The sequence below is a fragment of the Homo sapiens genome, chromosome 13 (assembly GCF_000001405.40).
Source record: "Homo sapiens chromosome 13, GRCh38.p14 Primary Assembly".
Taxonomy (NCBI): domain Eukaryota; kingdom Metazoa; phylum Chordata; class Mammalia; order Primates; family Hominidae; genus Homo; species Homo sapiens.
Window position 1 is genome coordinate 41,225,324 of NC_000013.11, and position 21,132 is coordinate 41,246,455.

A 21,132-nucleotide genomic window follows, 5' to 3' on the forward strand; every position below is an offset into this window, starting at 1 on the left:
TATCACTTATTTGCCAAGAAGTGATGGTGTGTACCCAGGGTATATTGTTTGCTTGTTAAAAGCAAAAATAAGTTATGGTTTGTAAATGAGCATTCCTATCTGCAAGTGTATACACTGATGATGCACTACAATCTGGGATTACCACTAATAGTGTTAATATTATTTATCCTGTCACTTTTATTACCTGCAAGTTAGCGTGTAGGTAAAGAAAGCTAGAAACGTGAAAGTGTGAAAAAGCTAGGATACATCTAGATGAAAAGTATAACTAATGCTTAGGTTTAGACAATTCATTATCCTAAAAGGCCACAAAATCTTCCAAATTTAAATTACTGTAGCATAGCCAGGTGTAGTGGCACGTGCCTGTAATCCCAGCTACTCAGGAGGCTGAGGCAGGAGAATCGCTTGAACCAGGGAGGTAGAGGCTGCAGTGAGCCAAGATTACGCCACTGCACTCCAGCCTGGTGACAGAGCGAGACTCTGTCATTAAAAAAAAAAAAAAAAAAAGAATTTAAATTATATATTAGGTTTACTTAAAATAATGACATTTATTCATTTTGCTTAGAATTCATCTATTTATCTATTTGAAAAAGTAACACTATATCATATATATTGTACAAAATTCAAAAAGTACCAAATGGTACATAATGAAAAATAAATTTCCTTTCTACCCCTTGTCCCTAGTCTCCATCAGTAGTATTCACTGTTCCCAGTTTTTTGCAGTGCCATTTGTATTTGATCTCACATAGAGTTATAGTACAAGCATAGGTTTTAATTTTTAGAAATAAAAAACGTTCTTAATTCTCAAAGAATTATTTGTCTTTTAAACCGTTTTCTTCTTAAGACAGTAATGATATAAACACAAGAGGGAAACAACTAGGAAATAATTTTTAGTTTATACATCTTACATTTACTAACTTGCAAACTGGTATGCCCAAGTTTAGCCATAACCCATCAGTTCATTTGTACTGAGTTACTGCTTATTTACAAAGGAGCACATTTCTCTATGCTCTAAAACATTCCCATTTAAGCAAGAACAAACACTGCATTCTCTACAGAAAATGACTTTTCTTTAAACAGTCACTAAATTATTATACCAAGTAAATCTTACCTGCAGTTTTCTAGCACTTTGTTGCTGACGCTTGTCTTTCTCAATAATCTGCTGGTAGAGTCTAGCTCTCAACACACGAAAGGCTATTTCTTTATTTTTTATCTGTGATCTTTCTTGTTGGCATTCTACTACTAGCCCTGAAAAATAACAGGGATCAGAAGGTAAACTGTAGCTTCCACCAAATTAAGATAGAACCAAGGAACAGTTAAATGAGACAGGTTAATCAGGAAAAGATCACAAAAGATACAAACATTTTAGGTTTAGCACACTTCAGAAACTAGCTGGGTTATGATTATAGCTGTAGTTGGCTCTTTAGATTCTGATATGTAAATGAGAACTCCGTATGAGCACCCAGAAAGCAGCAGCATCCACAGATGATTACCTGTCCTTTCAGTCCCCGAGCTTGGCCTCTTCCTCCTAGCTCATCCGGGCATTTCTGCAGCTCAACAAACAGCAAACTACTGCTACTCCCTATACTGCGCTGCTCCATTCTCTGTCCAACTCAAGAAGAACTTGCCTTTTCCCCTTTCAGTCACAAATATACACAGAGCTGAGGTTTTAAAAATACCTTTATAATGGCTGGGCGCAGTGGCTCACACCTGTAATCCGAGGATTTTGGGAAGGCAAGGCGGGTGGATCACAAGGTCAGGAGATCACGACCATACTGGATAACACAGTGAAACCCCATCTCTAAAAATACAAAAAATTAGCCAGGCGTGGTGGCATGTGCCTGTAGTCCCAGCTACTTGGGAGGCTGAGGCAGGAGAATCGCTTGAACCTGGGAGGCGGAGGTTGCAGTCAGCCGAGATTATGCCTGGTGACAGAGCGAGACTCCGTTAAAAACAAAAACAAACACAACAACAAAAACCAAAAAAAAAAAAACTTTATAGAAAAAAGCCAATGAAAAGACGCTACTCAGAGTCTTTAAAAAGAAGAATTTATAGTGAATGTTTCTGAGTTTTCTGAGTTCTAAATTTCTAAGTTGTTCTGCGTAGTCTAAGTTAGCTGGGGTCCAGCTAATCAATACATCTAACCTCACACAAGTTTTGGCTAGCCAGCTTCTGCATTTGGGTGGGTTTGGCCCACTGTGTAGTCCAGTTCCTGGTCCAAATCCAGCTCTGAAACGATCACTTCTTGAGGCTGTGTTGTTCTTAACTTTGCAGCTACCACTCTGAGGTCCGTGTCAAATCCTGCTCCTCAGTACATTAGAGGAGAAAGGGATTTTCTTTCTGAATCACAGAAACTAAAAACCAAAAGCCCCATTAGCTTAGCCTATCTGCACCGATACAGTGGTAAATATTTTGCTGGAGATGTAAAGAATTTCTATAAAGTTCTATTCTCTGAACTATGTTTTCTCCCTGTCTAAATAAGCTACAGTCACTACCTGCTAATACTTTTAGTAGGGCACTGAGGTTTCACCTCTACTAGTTTAATCACTTCCTGACTGCTTTACTGCAGCCATCTGGTTGGACTGGGGGCACTGGCTGGCCCCCATCTTCCAGGTATTTGTCTGGAGTTTTCTTGACTCTCGTATCCTTTTTGTACTACCCAAAAGAATATGAACATTTCCATTTTAAGACGGCCAGGCTTTCATGAGCTCTCCTCCACATTCCTCTTCTTGTCAGCTGATCTGTACTGATTTTTGCCTAAGCACCTGTATTATTCCTATCTACTCACTCAGGTTAGAACTTTTAGATCAAAACTATTACTTTCCAGCTCAGTAATTCCTAAGGGAATCACTTTATTATGTATTTTATTATAATGTACTTTCTATAGAGGAGTATTTAATAATGAGTACTCCCTTAAGAATAGAAGATGTAGAGGGAGGGAAGGTGTACTGAATAATAGAAGGGGGCTGGGCACGATGGCTCACACCGGCAACCCCAGCACTTTGGGAGGCAAAGGCGGGTGGATTATTTGAGGCCAGAAGTTCTGAGACCAGCCTGGACAACACAGCAAGATTTCGTCTCTACTAAAAATACAAAAACTAGCCAGCGTGGTAGCTGCACCTATAGTCCCAGCTACTCAGGGGGCTGAGGTAGGAGGATGACTTGAGCCAAGAGTTCGAGGTTACAGTCAGTGAGCTATGATCATGCCACTGCACTCTAGCCTGGACAACAGAGCAAGACCCAGTCTCAAAAGAAAGAAAGAAAGAAAAACAAAGAATTACAGAGGCCATCTTTTACTCACCAACTGGTAATAAACTAAAAAAAGCCCACTTTAATGCACAAAATATTCATTTGTCTTCATCCTTATCTTGGGATAAATTTTCCCAAGAAAGGTAATATTCCCCTGTATAAACATTTAACCATACCCCTATGAATAACTCTTCCAATGGTGGAAAATGAAATTATCTAGAAGCAGTGGTTAGAAAAAAAATACGATTCTTCCATGACATGGAGAAAATAGAAGAATGAGCTATATAGTTCTCACTTTGAATTCTAGCAGGGACGGTTCCTAGTCTAAGGTCTTAGTATGGAAGAAAGAATGGGAGAAATGGAAGAAAGGCTGAGTTTTCCTTGAAGCAGATGCTGAAACCATGGCAATCCTCAAAATATGGAAGAAGTAGGCTGAAGAAATCACTTGGTCATAACTGCATGGCTTCATAAGGGTTAGGTCTTGACATGCCTTGCTTGCCTAAAGGGAAGGTTTGAGGGTAGGCCTTCAGGCCTCTTTGAAACCAAAGACTCAGATCTAAGTGGCTAAAAAATAATTGGCCCAAGGTAAGTCTGGCAGCACAATGATAAGTCACTTTCTTTTCCCTTTATTGTTAGTTGACATGTAATAATTGTACATATTTATGGGATATAGAGTGGTATTTCGATACAATGTGGAATGATCAAATCAGGGTAATTAGCACATCCATCACCTCAAAATTTATTTATCATTTATTTGTGTTGTGAACATTCAAAATCTTCTCTTCTAGCTTTCTGAAAATATGCAATAAATAAATCTATATTAACCATATTCATGCTATAGTGCTACAGAACACCAGGACTAATTCCTCCTATCCAGCTGTAATTCTGTATCCTTTACCCAACCTCTCTCTATCCTCCTCTCCCCCTTACCCTTCCTAGTCTCTAATAACCACAGTTCTACTCTCTGTAAGTCACTTTTTGTAAAGTCAGCAATTTATGGCTACATAGGGTGGTTTTACAACTTGTAAGTTTTAAAGTATTCTGGTTTGTCAGAGTTTTGATCACCTTTTACCCAATTTTTTACCCATTTTAATTTTTAATTCATCTTAAGCTAATTATTACTGTTCTGGACTGTGTATAATATAGAATGATATCCAACAATACAGGGTTTAGGTGAAACACATTAAGTATTCAACAATTTATGGACTGTTGAAATAAATTATGGCAAGTTACAAAAAGTATAACCTCAGGACGGGCATGGTGGCTCATGCCTGTAATCCCAGCACTTTGGGAGGCCGAGGTGGGCAGATCACTCTAGGTCAGGAGTTCGAGACCAGCCTGGCCAACATGGTGAAACTACGTCTCTACTAAAAATACAAAAATTAGCCAGGTGTGGTGGTGCACACCCATAGTCCCAGCTACCTGGGAGGCTGATGCAGGAGAATAGCTTGAACACTGGAGGCAGAGGTTGCAGTGAACCAAGGTTCACTGGCCACTGCATGCCAGCCTGAGTGACAGAGCTAGACTCCATCTAAGAAAAAAAAAAAAGTATAACTTCATTTTTGGGGAAAAAATGGCATATTTTTATATGTACAGAAAAGAATTTGAAAGGATGTATACCAAAGATATATGCCAACAATGGTTACTGGGTTATTATTACGGATGTTTTATGTTCTTTTGCTCATGCATATATTCTTTTCTTTTTTTTTTTTGAGACGGAGTTTCACTCTTGTTGCCCAGGCTGGAGTGCAATGGCGTGATCTCAGTTCACTGCAACCTCTGCCTCCCAGGTTCAAGCAATTCTCCTGCCTCAGCCTCCCGAGGAGCTGGGATTACATGCATGCGCCACCAGGCCCAGCTAATTTTGTATTTTTAGTAGAGCTGGGGTTTCTCCATGTTGGTCAGGCTGGTCTTGAACTCCCGACCTCAGGTGATCTGTCTGCCTTGGCCTCCCAAAGTGCTGGGATTACAGGCGTGAGCCACTGCACCGGGCCTTTTTTTTTTTTTTTTTAACAGTTTCCTATGGAATAAAAATCAATAAAGGAAACAAGAGAAAGTATGAAATTATCCTATTTTGGATATTTAGGTTGTTTTAACTTTTCATACAACAAACAATACAAGCAATCATAATCATGTCTGACTTCAAGATGGTTTCCCTTTTTTTTTTTTTGAGACTGAGTTTTGCTCTTGTTGCCCAGGCTGAAGTGCAATGGCATGATCTCGGCTCACTGCAACCTCTGCTTCCTGGGTTCAACTGATTCTCCTGCCTCAGCCTCCCCAGTAGCTGGGACTACAGGCATACACTACTACACCCAGCTAATTTTTTTGTATTTTTAGTAGAGACAGGGTTTCACCATTTTGGCCAGGCTAGTCTCAAACTCCTGACCCTCAGGTGATCTGCCTGCATCAGCCTCCCAAAGTGCTGGGATTACAGGCGTGAGCCACTGCACCTGGCCCCCACCCCGCTTTTTTTAAATCACACTACAACAAGAACAAAGAACAGAAACACAAACTCCATCTGAAATAAAACTAGGTGATATATATAATCCCCAAACATGATCTATTAAAGACAGAAAGTGGATGGAAGAATGGTAAATGACTTAGCAGCTGGAAGGAAGGTGAGACTTAATTCCCTGTAGAGGGAGATGCTGACCAGAAACTGGCCACTTTGCCCTGCTAAGTGCCAGAAAGGCTCAGAAATAGAGACACCAGGTATTTCAGAAGTCAGGCTTGAGGAGCTAGGGCTAAATACAGAAAGCCTATAATAACAAATAGATCCTCAAGTCTCCTTCCTCAATCTGCAGAAGGCAGGAGGTATATTTCTGGATAATTAAATCAGGAAAATTCCAGACCTGGGACTAGTTATAAGGGAGGGCAAGTATGGAGTATGGGCGGGAAGACAAGAGGATTAAGTAAACAACTGCTATTGAAAGGTGAGACCTTGACTTTACTCTCAGCTGTATCCTGGAAGATCCTTCTCAGGAGAAAACAAACTCACAAGAGAAAAGGTCTACAGATATAGACATCTGGGGGTCCCTAATAAAAAAGCTGATTAATCCTCTAACTGCTCCACAGTGGAACTCACTAATGGGTATGTGGATAAGTGCACTCAGAGCTTCAGAATCTGGCTCTTAAATATGTACAGACAGCCAAGAATTCCTAGAAATTTCCAACATGAAAGTAAGAATGGGCTGAGTGTAGTGGCTCATGTCTGTTATCCCAACACTTTGGGATGCTGAGGCAGGCAGATCACTTGAGCCGAGGAGTTGGAGACCAGCTTGGGCAATGTGGAGAAACCTGGTGTCTACCAAAAAAAAAAAAAAAAAAAGCAAAAATTAGCCAGGCATGGTGGCAAGCGCCTATAGTTCCAGCTACCAGGAAGCTGGGACGGGGGAGTGGTGCTGAGGTGGGAGGGTCACCTGAGCCTGGGAAAGTCACAGCTGCAGTGAGCTGTGATCACACCACTGTACTCCAGCCTGGGCAACAGGCCAAGGCCTTGTCTCAAAAAGAAAAAAAAGAAAAGTAAAGCAAGAATGAAACAAAAATAAACTCAGAAGAAACAGAGACACTGCAGAAAGCAGAAGAGAACTTCAGGGAAACTAAAATTAATATCCTTCAGTAATAAAAAAAAGAAATAAGTATCAACAAAATAAGAAAAGGATGCTATGAGAAAACAATTCTGAGAACAAGAAAGAGCTCTCAAAAGTTAAAAAAATAATTTTTTTACAATCAGAAAAAAGGGTAGGAAAAAGAACTAAAAAACAAAGTGACAGACAATATGAGGAAAAAACAAATTCAAGAGGTCTAATATCTAACTAATAGAAATCCCAGGAAGAATAAATAAAATGTTATGCAAGAAAGTATTGAAGAAAGTATTTCAGAGCTGAAAGGCATGAGTCTCTAAACTGAAAGCAACAAATACAAGGAATGAAAAAGACTTTCAATGTTCTAAGGGGAAATTATTTCCATGAAATGATCGATGAAGTGTGAAGTTAGAATAAAGCTATTTTCAGATCTACAAAGCCTTGAAATATTTACATGTCACAAATCTTTTCTCAGGAAGCCACTTAAAGATGAGCTTTGTTAAAATGACAGAGTAGCAAAGAGAAAAGATGATATAGAACCCAAGAAACGGGAGGATCCAACACAGAACAGAGATGAAAGGAACTCCCCAACTGCTGATGACCAGGACAACCCCTGTGCAATGTCCTGGGGAGCAGCTGGTCCACACTGAAGCAAGATGATGGAGTGCTCTGTCATGGAGTCTCCAGAGAGCACTGGAGTGACTTCATTTTACACAACTTTTGGAAGATGTAAGCAGACTCAGAGTCAAAGAAAAGTAGGCAAATGAAAAATCAATGAGGTAATTATTAACTCTAGGAAATGAAATCACAGGACTGTATACTAATGGGCTCAGCGTCTAACACTATCTGTTCATTATATGAACACAGTGAAAATTAATTTTGCCAAAAGATAAATATTTGGAAGAAGAAAAGGTATATAAGAAGGGCAAAATTCTCATCTACCACATTAAGATGTAAATATATAATCTTTATAGTTGGTCAGAAGAGCAATATTTGCCTATTATTTAGAAATACTGAGGTAATTACCAGAAGAAATAGCTAAAAGAGGTTCATTTGTTTGTTTTTTGCAGCTAGAGAAGTGAGTAAAAAGAATTTAAAGTGGTTGTCTTTAGGAAATGGGAACTGAGAGTAGAGGAAGTAGGAAGAGGGTGGGAACAAGTCCAGAGAGCTGTTGGTTTTTTTGTTATAGGACTTTGCCATTAGACTTTTAAAACCATATACATGAAATGTAAAAATTAATTTAAAAAAATTAAGGAGTTAAATAAAATTTTAATTTGAAAAACGGTAGGAATATTTAAAATCACATTACGGACAGCAAAACTACCTCAGAGTATACCAAAATTACCAATATTCAAAATAAAAGCATTAGTGCAGCAAAGCCTAATGGAGTTAGCTGTCATGCTACAAGGTGACAGAATATCCACGGTGGTGGCCTGTGCAAGGCTGCTTCTGTGTTTCATCTGTATTTAGGCTGGGGCACCTCTGTTTGCTCACTCCCATCCAGCATACCTGGGAAGCTTCCCTGAATAGGTCTGCTCACCGTCTGCATCTTTTCAGAAAGGAATCTTTCCAAACAGAAGGGAAATATGAACACAATAGCCATCCTGATCCACAACCCCAGTGACATTTTTAAAGAGCTGTGCAAGGAACCAGACACTCATATAGGACTATTTCCTTCCAAATGCTGAGTAAGATGGAAAAAGGGTTAAAAGTACAAAGCCAAGGGGCTTGCTTACCTGTGGGGATGTGGACAAGTCTGACGGCACTATCAGTTTTATTAACATGCTGCCCTCCTGCTCCTTTGGCTCGAAATGTATCTATTCGCAAATCCTTGGGGTCCAATTTCACATCCACCTAGAACAGAAGGCATGGCATAATTCTACACTCCGTGAATACTTTAATATAAAATCGATTCCAAGATTTTTCAAATAAACTGTATTGTTTTAAGATAAATTATAGCCTTTAGACTAAGAGAAGTAACTTATACCAAAGAAAGAGCAATAAACTCCCCATTCCAATGGGATGCTATTTTTTGTTTGTTTGAGACAGGGTCTCCCTCTGTTGCCTAGGCTGGAGTATAGTGGCACAATCATAGCTCACTGTAACCTCAAACTCCTGGGCTTAAGTGATCCTCCTGCCTCAGCCTGCTGAGTAGCTAGGACTACTGGTGCGCACTACCGTGCCATGTTAATTTTAAAAATTTCTTGTACAGATGGGGTCTTGCTATTTTGCCCAGGCTGGTCTTGAACTCCTGGCCTCAAGCGATCCTCCCACCTTGGACTTCCTGAATGCTGAGATTACAGACATGAGCCACCACACCTGGCCCTGGGATTCCATTTTTAAGCACTGATTTAGGATGTTATGAGATCACTGAGTTTTCAATCTTTCAAAAGTTTCATCATTCATCATCCCAAAGTTACATGTAAGAAAACCCCAAAAATATATAAAATACACACATATATACTATATATTGTTGATTCTCATTATTGTCAGAATGTCTATTTGCAAATTTGCCTACTCACTAAAATTTATTTGTATCCACAAATCAACACCCGAGGCACTTCCACAGTCATTTGCAGACATGCATAGGGCAGTGAAAAATATGAGTTGCTCCACATTTGCCCATTGCCAGCTGAAGTAGGACAAGGTAACACTCTGCCTTCTTGTGGCAGCTCTCCTACAGAGATGACCAGAGAATGGAGGTGTAGGGGGCAGAGCAGAGCAGTGCTCTGGTTCTGGGGCCAATTTGGACTGGGTTTGAATCTGAACTCTAGCACCTTTTAGTGGAGCAGCATCAGGCAAGTCACCTGACACTCCTGAGCCTCGTTTTCTCTTTTGTAAAGTATAGAGAATCTACCAGGATGGGTTATTTTTAGAATTTAAGATTATAATCTATGTGAGCTCAGTGTGTGTTTGTGTGTGTGTATGAATTTAGCTAATTTTTTTTTTTTTTTTGAGACAGGGTCTCACTCTGTTCCCCAGGCTGGAGTGCAATGGTGCAATCATAGCTCACTGCCACCTTGAACTCCTGGACTTAAGCAATCTTCCTGCCTCAACCTCCTGAGTAGCTGGGACCACAGGTGTGTGCCACCACGCTCAGCTGGATTTAGCTAATATTGAACCATTGTTCCTAACACTGATTTAACAAATACTGAACCATTACTGCCAAGTGGTTCAGAATCTACTAAATTAGTGTTTGCTGCAACTTTACAGAACATAACTACTGGGAATAATGAAAATCAACTTCATTCGTGCATGTGTGTGTTTATTAGTGATTGAAAGGTGGCTCCCAAAAAGATATGTTCATATTCTAATTCATGGAACCTTATTCGGAAAAAGGTTCTTTGCAGATGTAATTAAGATGAAATTATCCTGGATTATCAGGATAGGCCCTAAATCCAATGACAAGTGTCCTTATAACAAACAACTAAAGACAGTAAAGGAGAAGACCATGTGAATTTGAAGAGTGTTATCGTTTCAAGCCGAGGAACACCTGGAGCAACCAGAAGCTGGAAGATGCAAGGGAGGATTCTCCCCAGAGCCTTCAGAGAGGCACAACTCTGCTGACACCTTGATTTTGGACTTCTGGCTGCTAGAACTGTGAAATAATAAGTTACTGCTATTTGAAGCCACTAAGTTTGTGGTAATTTGTTACAGCAGCCTTTGGAAACTTATACACAGACACAGACACACACACACACAGAAACACACACACACAAATAGTTAACGAATATGTTTTTATTTTGTTTGTTTTTTGTTTTTTTTTTTGAGACAGAGTCTTGCTTTGTTGCCCAGGCTGGAATGCAGTGGCGTGATCTCAGAATTCACTGCAACCTCTGACTCCCAGGTTCAAGAGTTTGGAAACTTATACACAGACACAGACAGACAGACACACACACACAGACACACGCACACACACACACAGTTAACAAATATTTTTGTTTTGTTTTGTTTTTGTTTTTTTTGGTTTTTTTTTGGAGACAAGAGTCTTGCTTTATTGCTCAGGCTGGAGTGCAGTGGCGTGACCTCAGAATTCACTGCAACCTCTGACTCCCAGGTTCAAGAGATTCTCCTGCCTCAGACTCCCGGGTAGCTGGGATTATAGGTGTGTGCCATCACTACCAGCTACTTTTTGTATTTTTAGTAGAGATGGAGTTTCACCGTGTTGGCCAGGCTGGTCTCGAACTCCTGATCTTGTGATCCATCCACCTTGGCCTCCCAAAGTGCTGGATTACAGGCATGAGCCACTGTGCCCGGCCTACAACAAATATGCTATTTTTTAGGGGAGAGCTAACATTTTGTTCCACATTCATCATTTATTAGTGTGAATGACAGAAAGCAGATGTGACTTTTCTCTTTGAAAAGTAACTAGTAACTGGGTCAAGGCTGGAATCTAATACACTGTTTAGCTGATTGTTCTTTTGTATGTTTCCTCTCAAATGACTGCAACACAGTGAAGAAAATGATTATACAGCTTTTGTTAATATATGTTAGAGTTGGCTGCCTTAAGACATCAATAAATACTGAAGAGATAAGAGTGACTTACCATTTCATGTGGCTATAGTATATTAAGTAGTTACATAGAAAATGTGTGGATATCATATGTCACATTCTCCCAAATGTTACAGAAATGATCTAATGACTTTTGGGGAACTCTGGATACAGAAATGGTGACTTAGGGCAGATAAAGCATTTTAAATGTCAGTTAAGAGAACATAACCTTGTACTTTTAGAATAGTGAAATGCCACTGAATGAGTTTAATTTTCAAGAATATAAAAACAGGCCCGGCACTGTGGCTCACGCCTGTAATCTCAGCACTTCGGGTGGCCAAGGCAGGCAGATCACTTGAGCTCAGGAGGTTCAAGACCAGCCTGAGCAACATGGCGAAACCTCGTCGCTACAAAAAATATAAAAATTAGCCAGGCATTGTGGCACACACCTGTAGTCCCAGCTATTCAAAAGGTTGAGGTGGGAGAATCACTTGAGCCTGGGAGGCAGAGGTTGCAGTAAGCCAAGATGGGGCCACTGCACTCTAGCCTGGGTGACAGAGTGAGAATCTGTCTCAAAAAAAAAAAAAAAAAAAAAGAATATGACAATAAAAACAGGGTAAGTGGGAATGGGGTAGAAGAAATAAGGATTGAAGCAAGATAACTCTATGGTTTTGCTTTTTTAACCATGTAAATGTTTAATATATAAAAATATAATTAAGTAAAAGAGAAAAGAAAAATCAAATCCTAAAATGAAATAAAAACAGAAATAAATGAACCAAAATATTTATCATAATAACATAACCACACAGAAAAAAATCATTTCAGATGATCTCTGAGCATAGTGCTCACACTATGCATTCTTTTTTTTTTGAAACAGAGTCTCACTCTGTCGCCCAGGCTGGAATACAATGGCATGATCTCAGCTCACTGCAACCTCCGCCTCATGGGCTCAAGCAATTCTCCTGCCTCAGCCTCCTGAGTAGCTGGGACTACAGGCACGCGCCACCACACCTGGCTAATTTTTTCGTATTTTTAGTAGAGACAGGGTTTCACCATGTTGGCCAGGCTGGTCTTGAACTCCTGACCTCAAATGATCCCGTCTGCTTTGGCCTCCCAAAGTGCTGGGATTACAGGCGTGAGCCACCACACCCAGCCTGACTATACATTCTTGGTAGAATATATTCTAAGGGGAAAAATCTTAAACATTACTCAGTAGTTTACTGTTAGTAATGTCGATATTATAATTTTGAAACTATTTTATATATAGTATATAATAAACCAAATAAACATATTAAAGTGATTATGAAACAAGATTTTTTATATTAACGGAGAGATGTAAACACAAAATGCAAGAAGTTGAGGGGTGACAAAAATTTCTGTAATGTTAAATTTGAATTGGTAGTAATAATATGAAACTTTGATTTCAAAACATGTATTTCCTGGCTATAGCCACTGAAAGAGTCTAGAAGTAACGACACTAATGATAATGAACAGACCTACTATCTAGATCTTGATTTCTGGATACATTCCCCACTAAAATGAACCAGGCTGACTCTAAGTCTGAGGCAGGATAGTACAAAATGGGCCTGGGAATCTAACTGTGTCAGAAAGCATAGATGCACTCAAATGATGGTATCATTTCAAAAGGACAAAAGAGGTACCCTAAAAGGCTACTATAGACCAAATCTGGGACTATTTGAAGGTAAAGAAGAATAGTAACTATAAATAAGTGAATTAAAACATGAATCCATGAGTCTATAATGAGGTTAATACGTGAAACTTGATACATGAGTTTATAATGAAATCATATACTAGAAAAAGAATGCAAGTGTGGGGTAGGAGGTGAGAAGGTAGTAGGGAGGAAAGTTCTTTACAGAAGAATGCCAGTTAATAAATGTGGAAGGAATGGCGGAATTAGAAAATCACCATCTTGCAACTCCAAAGTAAAGAACTGATTCAGGCAAGGATCACCAATGGATGTTAAAACTATGGATGAAAGGTAATTAGGAACAGGATATATGTACCCTAGAAATTACTTAGTAATTGCAAAGGGAGAAATATACTTTTACAATGGAGATATTTCTGTGGTCACCATCTTCACTAACTACTAAAACTAAGGTACACTAAAAGTGAGACAATCTAGCATTATGTGTCTTCTGATAAGATGCAACATGACTATAACTGCACCTATGAAGTATTCTCGCTCAAAATGTGTAACCTGCACAGAATGGAACATGTAGATATAACTTTCAACATAATACAGAGGATAAAGGAACAAGTTAAAGAGTACCACAAGGAACAGTCAGAGGAATCCAGAATGTGGGACATTCTTCAAGACAAATGGTCTAGACTTTTCAAGAAGTCATTATCACTAAAAAAAAAAGTTGGGAGACTGTTCTAAACTTAAAGAAACATAGCAACTAATTGTAATGTGTGAAACTTGACAGGATCCTGGATAAAAAAAAAAAATCACTATACCCAGGTATAGTGGCATGCCTGTAGTCCTAGCTACTCAGGAGGTTAAGGCAGGAGGATCACCTTGAGCCCAGGAGTTCAAGTTCAGCCTGAGCAACACAGCGAGACCTTGCCTCCAAAAGTAGATAAATAAATAGCTATTAAAAAATTGGGGGCTGATTAGGGAAACTGTTAAATGTACTAGATATTAGATATTATACAATTATGTTTAGTTTTCATAGGTAATGGTAGTGTGCTTACATCGGAGAATGCCCTAAGAGATCTATGTGAAAGATTTGGAAGGTAAGGTCTCATGGTGTCTGCTGTATCCTTTATAGTTCATTTAAATAAATGTATACACATATATATAGGAATCAAGCAAATGTGAGAAAATGTAAACAACTGACCTCAGGTGAAGGTTATAAAATTTTCATTGTGGTATCCTTTAAATTTTCTGTATGTTTAAAAAAAAAAGGTTAGGGAAAAGAAAAATATAGAGCAGATGGCTGTATTCAACTAAAAAGATAGATACATGGTCCCCATACTGATATTATACAACTGACCTTGAAATATTATCTCTGGAATTCATTTTCTTTCTTAAGATAAAATTTAGGCAGCAACATTAAATGAACTTTTTTTTGAAAATAAGTGACTTCTATTTAAAAGCAAACAAAACATCTTGGTCAATGATAAGAGGGGCAACTTTGCCTAGGGGAGAGTTAAACATTTCCCATTAGAGACTATAAAGTCCAATCTGTAGCCATGAAAAGAACAGATTTCGGCTGGGTGCGGTGGCTCACACCTGTAATCCCACCACTTTGGAAGGGCGAGACAGGCGGACTGCCCGAGGTCAGGAGTTCGAGACCAGTCTGGCCAACATGGTGAAAACCTGTCTCTACTAAAAATACAAAAAAATTAGCCAGGCATGGTGGCGTGTACCTGTAATTGCAGCTACTCAGCAGGCTGAGGCAGGAGAATTGTTTGAACCAGGGAGGTGGAGGTTGCAGTGAGCAGAGATCGCGCCACTGTACTCCAACCTGGGCGACAGAGCGAGACTCTGTCTCAAAAAAAAAAAAAAGGACAGATTTTCCTAGAAGCTAAGGCTTCCAGCACAATACCCGTTGACATGGAGTGAGTTTCCCTTGCCTCCTCCTGAGGTTACCTCATCTGGCTGAGGAAGGACAATAACCGACATCGTTCCTGTGTGAATGCGCTGCATCCTTGAGGACAGGCCCACCTCGGGGATGCGCTGAACTCGGTGAATCCCACCCTCATACTTCAAATGCTTATAGACACCGTCACCGGAAATTCGGGCGGCTGCATGATGTAGTCCACCTAGGGGAACAACAATCCAGAAATAGTAATGAATTATCCTTTGAAACAGATCAGGATCCTAAATGTCCTTAATCTAAGGCCTGAATGTTGAGTACAGAGCCTAAGATGAGAACATAAAGCATGGGAGAACGAGGGCCTCTGAAGAAGAAGAAGAAAAGAGGACATAAAGTATGCACAAAACTACAGTTTTCCAATGTAAATGTATTAAAATACAAAAGGAAACATACCAAAATGTAATTAATTATAGGAGCTAGTGATGCAACAATAGGAAACATACCAAAATATTATTTCGTTATGTCTGGGGAATAGAATAATACTTTTTTTATTTCCAAATTTTCTATAATGAACAAGTTTTATTTTTATAATAAGGGAAAACTACTATTAGAACAAAAAAATAATACTGGGATGTTTTCTGTATTGAACTACCCTGTGTAGTCTTAGGCTAATAGGGTATCATATATAAAAGAATGCTCAATAGGAGAATAATTTCATACTGTTGAATAACTCTACAGATCCTCCCAAATTTTCAAGAATTTATTGAAAGTCAGCTCTTGCTTATCTATGGAGTGGGAAGAGTATCACAAAGAATCTTAACACCTAGGCTAGCTTGTTCTTTTTTTGTTGTTGTTGAGACAGAGTCTTGCACTGTCACTGGGGCTGGTGTGCAGTGGTGCAATCTCGGCTCGCTACAACCTCTGCCTCCTGGGTTCAAGTGATTCTCCTGCCTCGTTCTCTTGAGTGGCTAGGATTACAGGCACCCACCACCACGTCCGGCTAATTTTTTGTATTTTTAGTAGAGGCGGGGTTTCACTATGTTGGCCAGGATGGCCTCGAACTCCTGACCTCATGATCTGCCTGCGTTGGGGTCCCAAAGTGCTGGGATTACAAGCGTGAGCCACCATGCCCGGCCACTTGTTCTTATCTAATGTTTTTTTAAAAATCTTTTTTATGATACAATAATATATGAAAGACAGAAAAACACACAAATCAAATATGTGGTTTAGAGTCCACCACTCAGGTCAAGAAAAAGAACGGTGCTAGTCACTTCATAAGCCCTCCCAAATGCCATTTCCAGACATAATCCTCTCTCTTCCCTATGAGTAATCATTATCCTGACTTTTATTCCTTTCTTTATCATAACTTCATTACCTAAACGTGTAGCCCTAGGCGCTACAGTTTAGTCCTGCCCATTTAAAAATGTTTGATGTATCTTTTTAGTCTATTAGTCCACATGCTCATCATCCATTGCTTTCATTTCCTACAAATGATCTGGTGAAGAACTTGGGCTGCTGACCTGTAGAATTTCCAACAGTCTGTTTTTGCAGACTGCATATTCTTGGTGCAAGTCACCCTGTTCTGCTGCCCTCTGTATCGGCAGCAATTAGGCAGCTGGATGCAGACACTGGATCAGACACCAGCTCGAGCCCTTTGGCAAGACGACAGGAGGTATACGGTGTCTGGATGTCTCTCTTTTTACAGTCTTGACAGGCTTTGACACTGAATGCATCACTGGGGTTACAAAATGGTGATAAGTCTAATTCTATCATTCCTTTCTCACTTATTAGTTAAAATACACTAATAAAGAGACACTTCCCCTTGTCTACCATTTGATTACATGGTGATACAATTACATAGGAAAAGCAAGATAAATGTTTGATTCTGTCCCTTTTATCAGTTCTACCAAGATACCAACGTTTTTTTTTTGTAATATACTGAACTGGTTCATTTTAATCCTCTGAAGATGACCAATTAAAAGTTTAAATTATCATTATGAACTCAAGGATTGAAACACATCTAGCACGTTTAAATCAAGCACAATTATTATTAAAGCTCAACTAGTCCCATCGTTGGCCCATAGAGCCTCTTCAAATTGACTTCTGAATTCTTCTGACATGCCCCATTTGTATGGGACATGCCCCATTTGTATGGCATAACAAGATATTCCAGGATTATCTTGAACATTTTTTACCCTAGACCTGGAATCAGCCATGTCTCCAAAAAGCCCTGGTTCAAGAGAAAAATAGTATTTGAAAATCACAATTTGGGGGCTAGGGTTGTCCACTACTACTGGATTTGGTTATAATTTCTAAGCCTTTTCAGTGGCCAGAAATAGGAAATACCTCATGAGTTCATATGATGTTGAGACCCAATTTTCCATGGGTCTCCTGTGTTCCTGCACATCTTACAAATGAAGCATTGCTGGCTATTTCGCTCTAAAATATCTTTTAAAGGCGGTTTGTGTAGTGAACAGCCTTGGAAATAATGTGTCCCTCCAGAGCAAAGGACAAGTTTCCACAGCCTTGGAAGACAGAGATAGTGTCTCTTTCTAGAGCAATGTGCAGCATGCTTACTGCGCATTAAAAAAAATGGCTGGGCGCAGTGGTTCATGCCTGTAATCCTGGCACTGTGCAAAGCTGAGGGGGGCAGACAGCGGGAGCCCAGGAGTTCAAGACCATCCTGGGCAACACAGTCAAACTCCATCTCTACAAAAAATACAAAAATTATGGTCAGGCGCTGTGGCTCACACCTGTAGTCCCAGCACTTTGGGAGGCCGAGGCGGGCAGATCACAAGGTCAGGAGTTCGAGACCAGCCTGACCAATATGATGAAACCATGTCTCTACTAAAAATACAATAATTAGCTGGGCGTGGTGGCGCGCACCTGTCATCCCAGCTACTTAGGATGCTGAGGCAGAAGAATCGCTTGAACCTGAGAGGCGGAGGTCGCAGTGAGCCAAGATCGTGCCACTGCACTCCAGCCTGGATGACAGAGCAAGACTCCATCTCAAAATAAATAAATAAAATTAAAAAAAATAAAAATAAAAAAATTAGCCAGGTGTGGTGGCACGTGTCTGTAGTCCCAGCTACTTGGGAGGCTGACATGAGAAGATGGCTTGAGCCCAGTTGAGGCTGCAGCGAGCTGTGATGGTGCCATTGCCCTCCAGCCTGGGAGACAGAGTGAGACCCTGTCTCAAAAAAAAAAAAAAAAAAAAAGACTCAATTTCCTTAAGTTCAGTGCTCTTCTCCTATAATGCAACCTACTGTGTGGGCAGGTATCATCTGGTCTTCTTAGTTGTTGCCCTGTGGGACTCTGGGCTCAGGGAACTGGCACAAAAATGCTAATACTCTGGCTACTGCTATAACCCTGAGTAATAAACTGTCCTTCACTGCTGACCCATGAAACAGCAGCAGGCTAACTTGTTAGCTTGCAAGTAGGGTAAAATCTCAGACCTTTCAGAGTTTTTACAACTGACACTTCCAATTTAAATTCAACTTCAACCTCTTTTCTACCACACTTTTATTGTATTTCTTCCCATACCAAGAATCTTGGTTCTCAAAGAGAGGGCATTAGAATTAAAATATCCCAAAATTACTTATCTGTTTTTATATTACACTACACACCTAACAGTCTCAGAATACTAATACTAGTTCTACCAATACAATTACTAAAAACATTAAAACTTTTTTGCATATGCTCTTGCCATTTGCCTCCCATTTTTCAAATGATTGTACTATATCTATACTGTCAGATCATACAGTCCTTATGTAACAAATTTATTCCCCTTAGCCCTCAATTAGTCCCAGTTCTTCAGGTAACTGCATATTTAATGTTCACCCCTACTCCTTATTTTGCTATCTCTCATTTCAGTTGTCTGAAGCTTGTTTTCTAGTAGATTCCTCAGAAAGGGATCATGGGAAGAGTATTTCTTGAATTCTTGCATAATGATAACAAATTGTTCCCTTCACATTTATAAGTCAGTTTTGCTTATTATAAAATCCTTAACTCAACTTTCTTTCTTTCAGTGAACTCTCTCTCTGGCACAAAGTGTTGTTACTGAAAAGTCTGAAGGAAATCTAATCCTTGCCTTATAAGTCTCAAGGTCTTTGTTTCTACGTGCCTAATGGGTCTTTTCCCTTTTTTGTAAGTCCAAACATTTTATTAGCCTATGTCTTAGTGTTGGTCGTTCTAGCTGGGTATTTTCAGATGTGCACATGGTTTCAAATCTTTTATTTCTATTTCAGAAGAGTTCTCTGGAAATATAGATGTTAGTATTTGTCACAGGCAGCCTCAAGGGTGGCCCCCCAGGATCCCTGCCTGCTGGTATTCATACCCTTACAGTTCCCTCCCAGCTGGTCTGTATGATCAATAGCATATGGTATGACAGAGGTGATACTATGTCACCTTCCGAGGTTAGATTATAAAGAACCATGGCCTCCATCTTGCATCACTTACTTGGGAGAAACAGGTCGCTATGTTGGGAATAGCCCTGTGGAGAGGCCCTCGTGGTGAAAAGCTGGTATCTGCTTACAACTACATGAGTGAGCTTGCAAGCAGGCCCTGACACCCCAGTCATGTGTTGAGATGACAACAACCCCACCCAACAGCTTAACTGCAACCTCATGAGACACCCTGTGCCACTCAAAAAAGCAGCTGATTCCTGACCCTCATAAATTGTGAGATAAAAAATGTTTGTTCTTTAAAATTGCTAAGCTTTGGGTAATTTGTTACACAGCAATAAATAACAAATATAGTATCTGCTCTGACTTTTATCATCTAATCAATCTTTTTGCCTATCAACAATATTTGTCATTTTCTTCACTCCTTTATTATCTTTCTTCATTTCTTCTTGATTTCAAAAAAATTTTCCTTTTTAACTACTACTTTCTTAAGGCATTAAATGTTCTGTTTATCTGCTCATATGTTCCTTCTGATTTATTCATTTCTAAAATGATTTTTCTTTGCTTTCTAATTATTTCCTGAGTCTGTCATTTCATTTCTAATCCTGATTTATCAGATTCTTTGACACTTCATATTGCTTTTTTTTTTTGAAGACATGGTCTCACTCTGTCCTCTAGGCTGGAGTGCAGTGTCACAATCTTGGCTCACTTCAGCCTTGACCTCCTGGGCTCAAGCCATCCCACCTCAGCCACTGGAGCAGCTGGGACTACAGACGTGTGCCACCATGCTCAGCTAATTTTTAAAATTTTTTGTAGAGACAAGATCTCACCATGTGGGACCCAGGCTGGTCTCAAACTCCTGGGCTCAAGCGATCCTCCCACTTTGGCCTCCCAAAGTGCTGGGGAATATAGGTGTGAGCCACCATGCTCAGCCTCTTAATTACTTATTTTGAAATAGCAGATGATAGTTTTGACCTATTTTGTAGTCATATCTTTCTAATGTGCTTTCATTGTCTGTAGGGATCTTATTCTACTCTTTACTCTCTTGTGTCTCATAAAACTTTGTATGGAATTTAACCTTAATACTTTTCTATGGTTTATTTTTCTGTGAGATTACTTTTCCATATATTTTAGAATGAGTCCAGGAAGGCTTTTCTAACTTCACAGAGTTCTCTTTTCTGTGGCTTTGTGTAATGTTCAAATAAATAGCAACCTGCTTTCTGGGACTTCCTGGCTGTTCTCCCTGGCTTTGGATTAGATCTTCTTTTCCCTTCCTCCCTCTTTATCCCTGTCCTGCTCAACTTTGATTCTCCTCCCAGCAGTCCTTCCTCAGTGTGGGGGCCTGTTTTGGAAGGGCGCCCTAGTGGATCTGTTTTGAGAGGTCATGCAGGCTAGACTGCTCTGGCCTCTTTAAATCTCCTTACCTACAGCCCGAACACTTTACTCATTATTGGAGAGCGTAAACCTCCTCCCAGCTCCAGCTCATGTTCATAACTGGCTCCCAAATTCCAGAGAATAACCATGAGTTATGAGAGGGTTCTCCAGTTTTCAGATCCGGCAGATGCCACCCCATTGCTTCCTTCTTCCTCCTGCACAGATGCTTAGACCATGCAGGTTCTATGGCAATTGGTGGTTTGTTTTGGGGTTTTGTGGGTATACCCTGCAACTGAATGCTGTCAATGCTATCCATGGGTTTTTGGTTTTGATATCTAGTTGCTATATGTGTTTTTGCATGGGGATTCAGAGAGACTGAAAACTATGCTGCTACTGCAGCTGCCATCTTCCTAATGCATTTCTAATGAAGATATAACCATTTGGTTTCTAAAGTCAGCATGTTAGACAAAA

The 21,132-nt window shown here is 39.8% G+C and overlaps 1 protein-coding gene and 1 long non-coding RNA gene across 31 annotated transcripts in view; one reads left to right on the forward strand and one right to left on the reverse strand.

Annotated features, from left to right (window-relative positions):
• The window catches only part of KBTBD6-DT (KBTBD6 divergent transcript), a 103,759-nt gene extending 92,396 nt beyond the window's left edge, over positions 1-11,363 (forward strand). Inside the window, exon 4 of the long non-coding RNA NR_120423.1 lies at positions 9,793-11,363. This is a non-coding gene — a long non-coding RNA (KBTBD6 divergent transcript). The remainder of the gene's footprint in view (positions 1-9,792) is intronic.
• The window catches only part of MTRF1 (mitochondrial translation release factor 1), a 95,670-nt gene that overhangs the window by 8,955 nt on the left and 65,583 nt on the right, over positions 1-21,132 (reverse strand). For 25 of the 30 annotated variants that reach the window (NM_001354074.1, NM_001354076.1, NM_001354073.1 and 22 more), the window contains 3 exons: positions 14,938-15,110; positions 8,567-8,684; positions 1,109-1,245 (listed from right to left, as the gene is read on the reverse strand). In NM_001354074.1, the coding sequence (NP_001341003.1) occupies positions 1,109-1,245; positions 8,567-8,684; positions 14,938-15,110 (428 nt within the window). Of the gene's footprint in view, positions 1-1,108; positions 1,246-5,189; positions 5,267-8,079; positions 8,396-8,566; positions 8,685-14,937; positions 15,111-21,132 lie in introns of those variants that run through there. The other 5 variants (XM_047430799.1, XM_047430801.1, XM_011535326.4 and 2 more) reach the window with 4 other exon arrangements.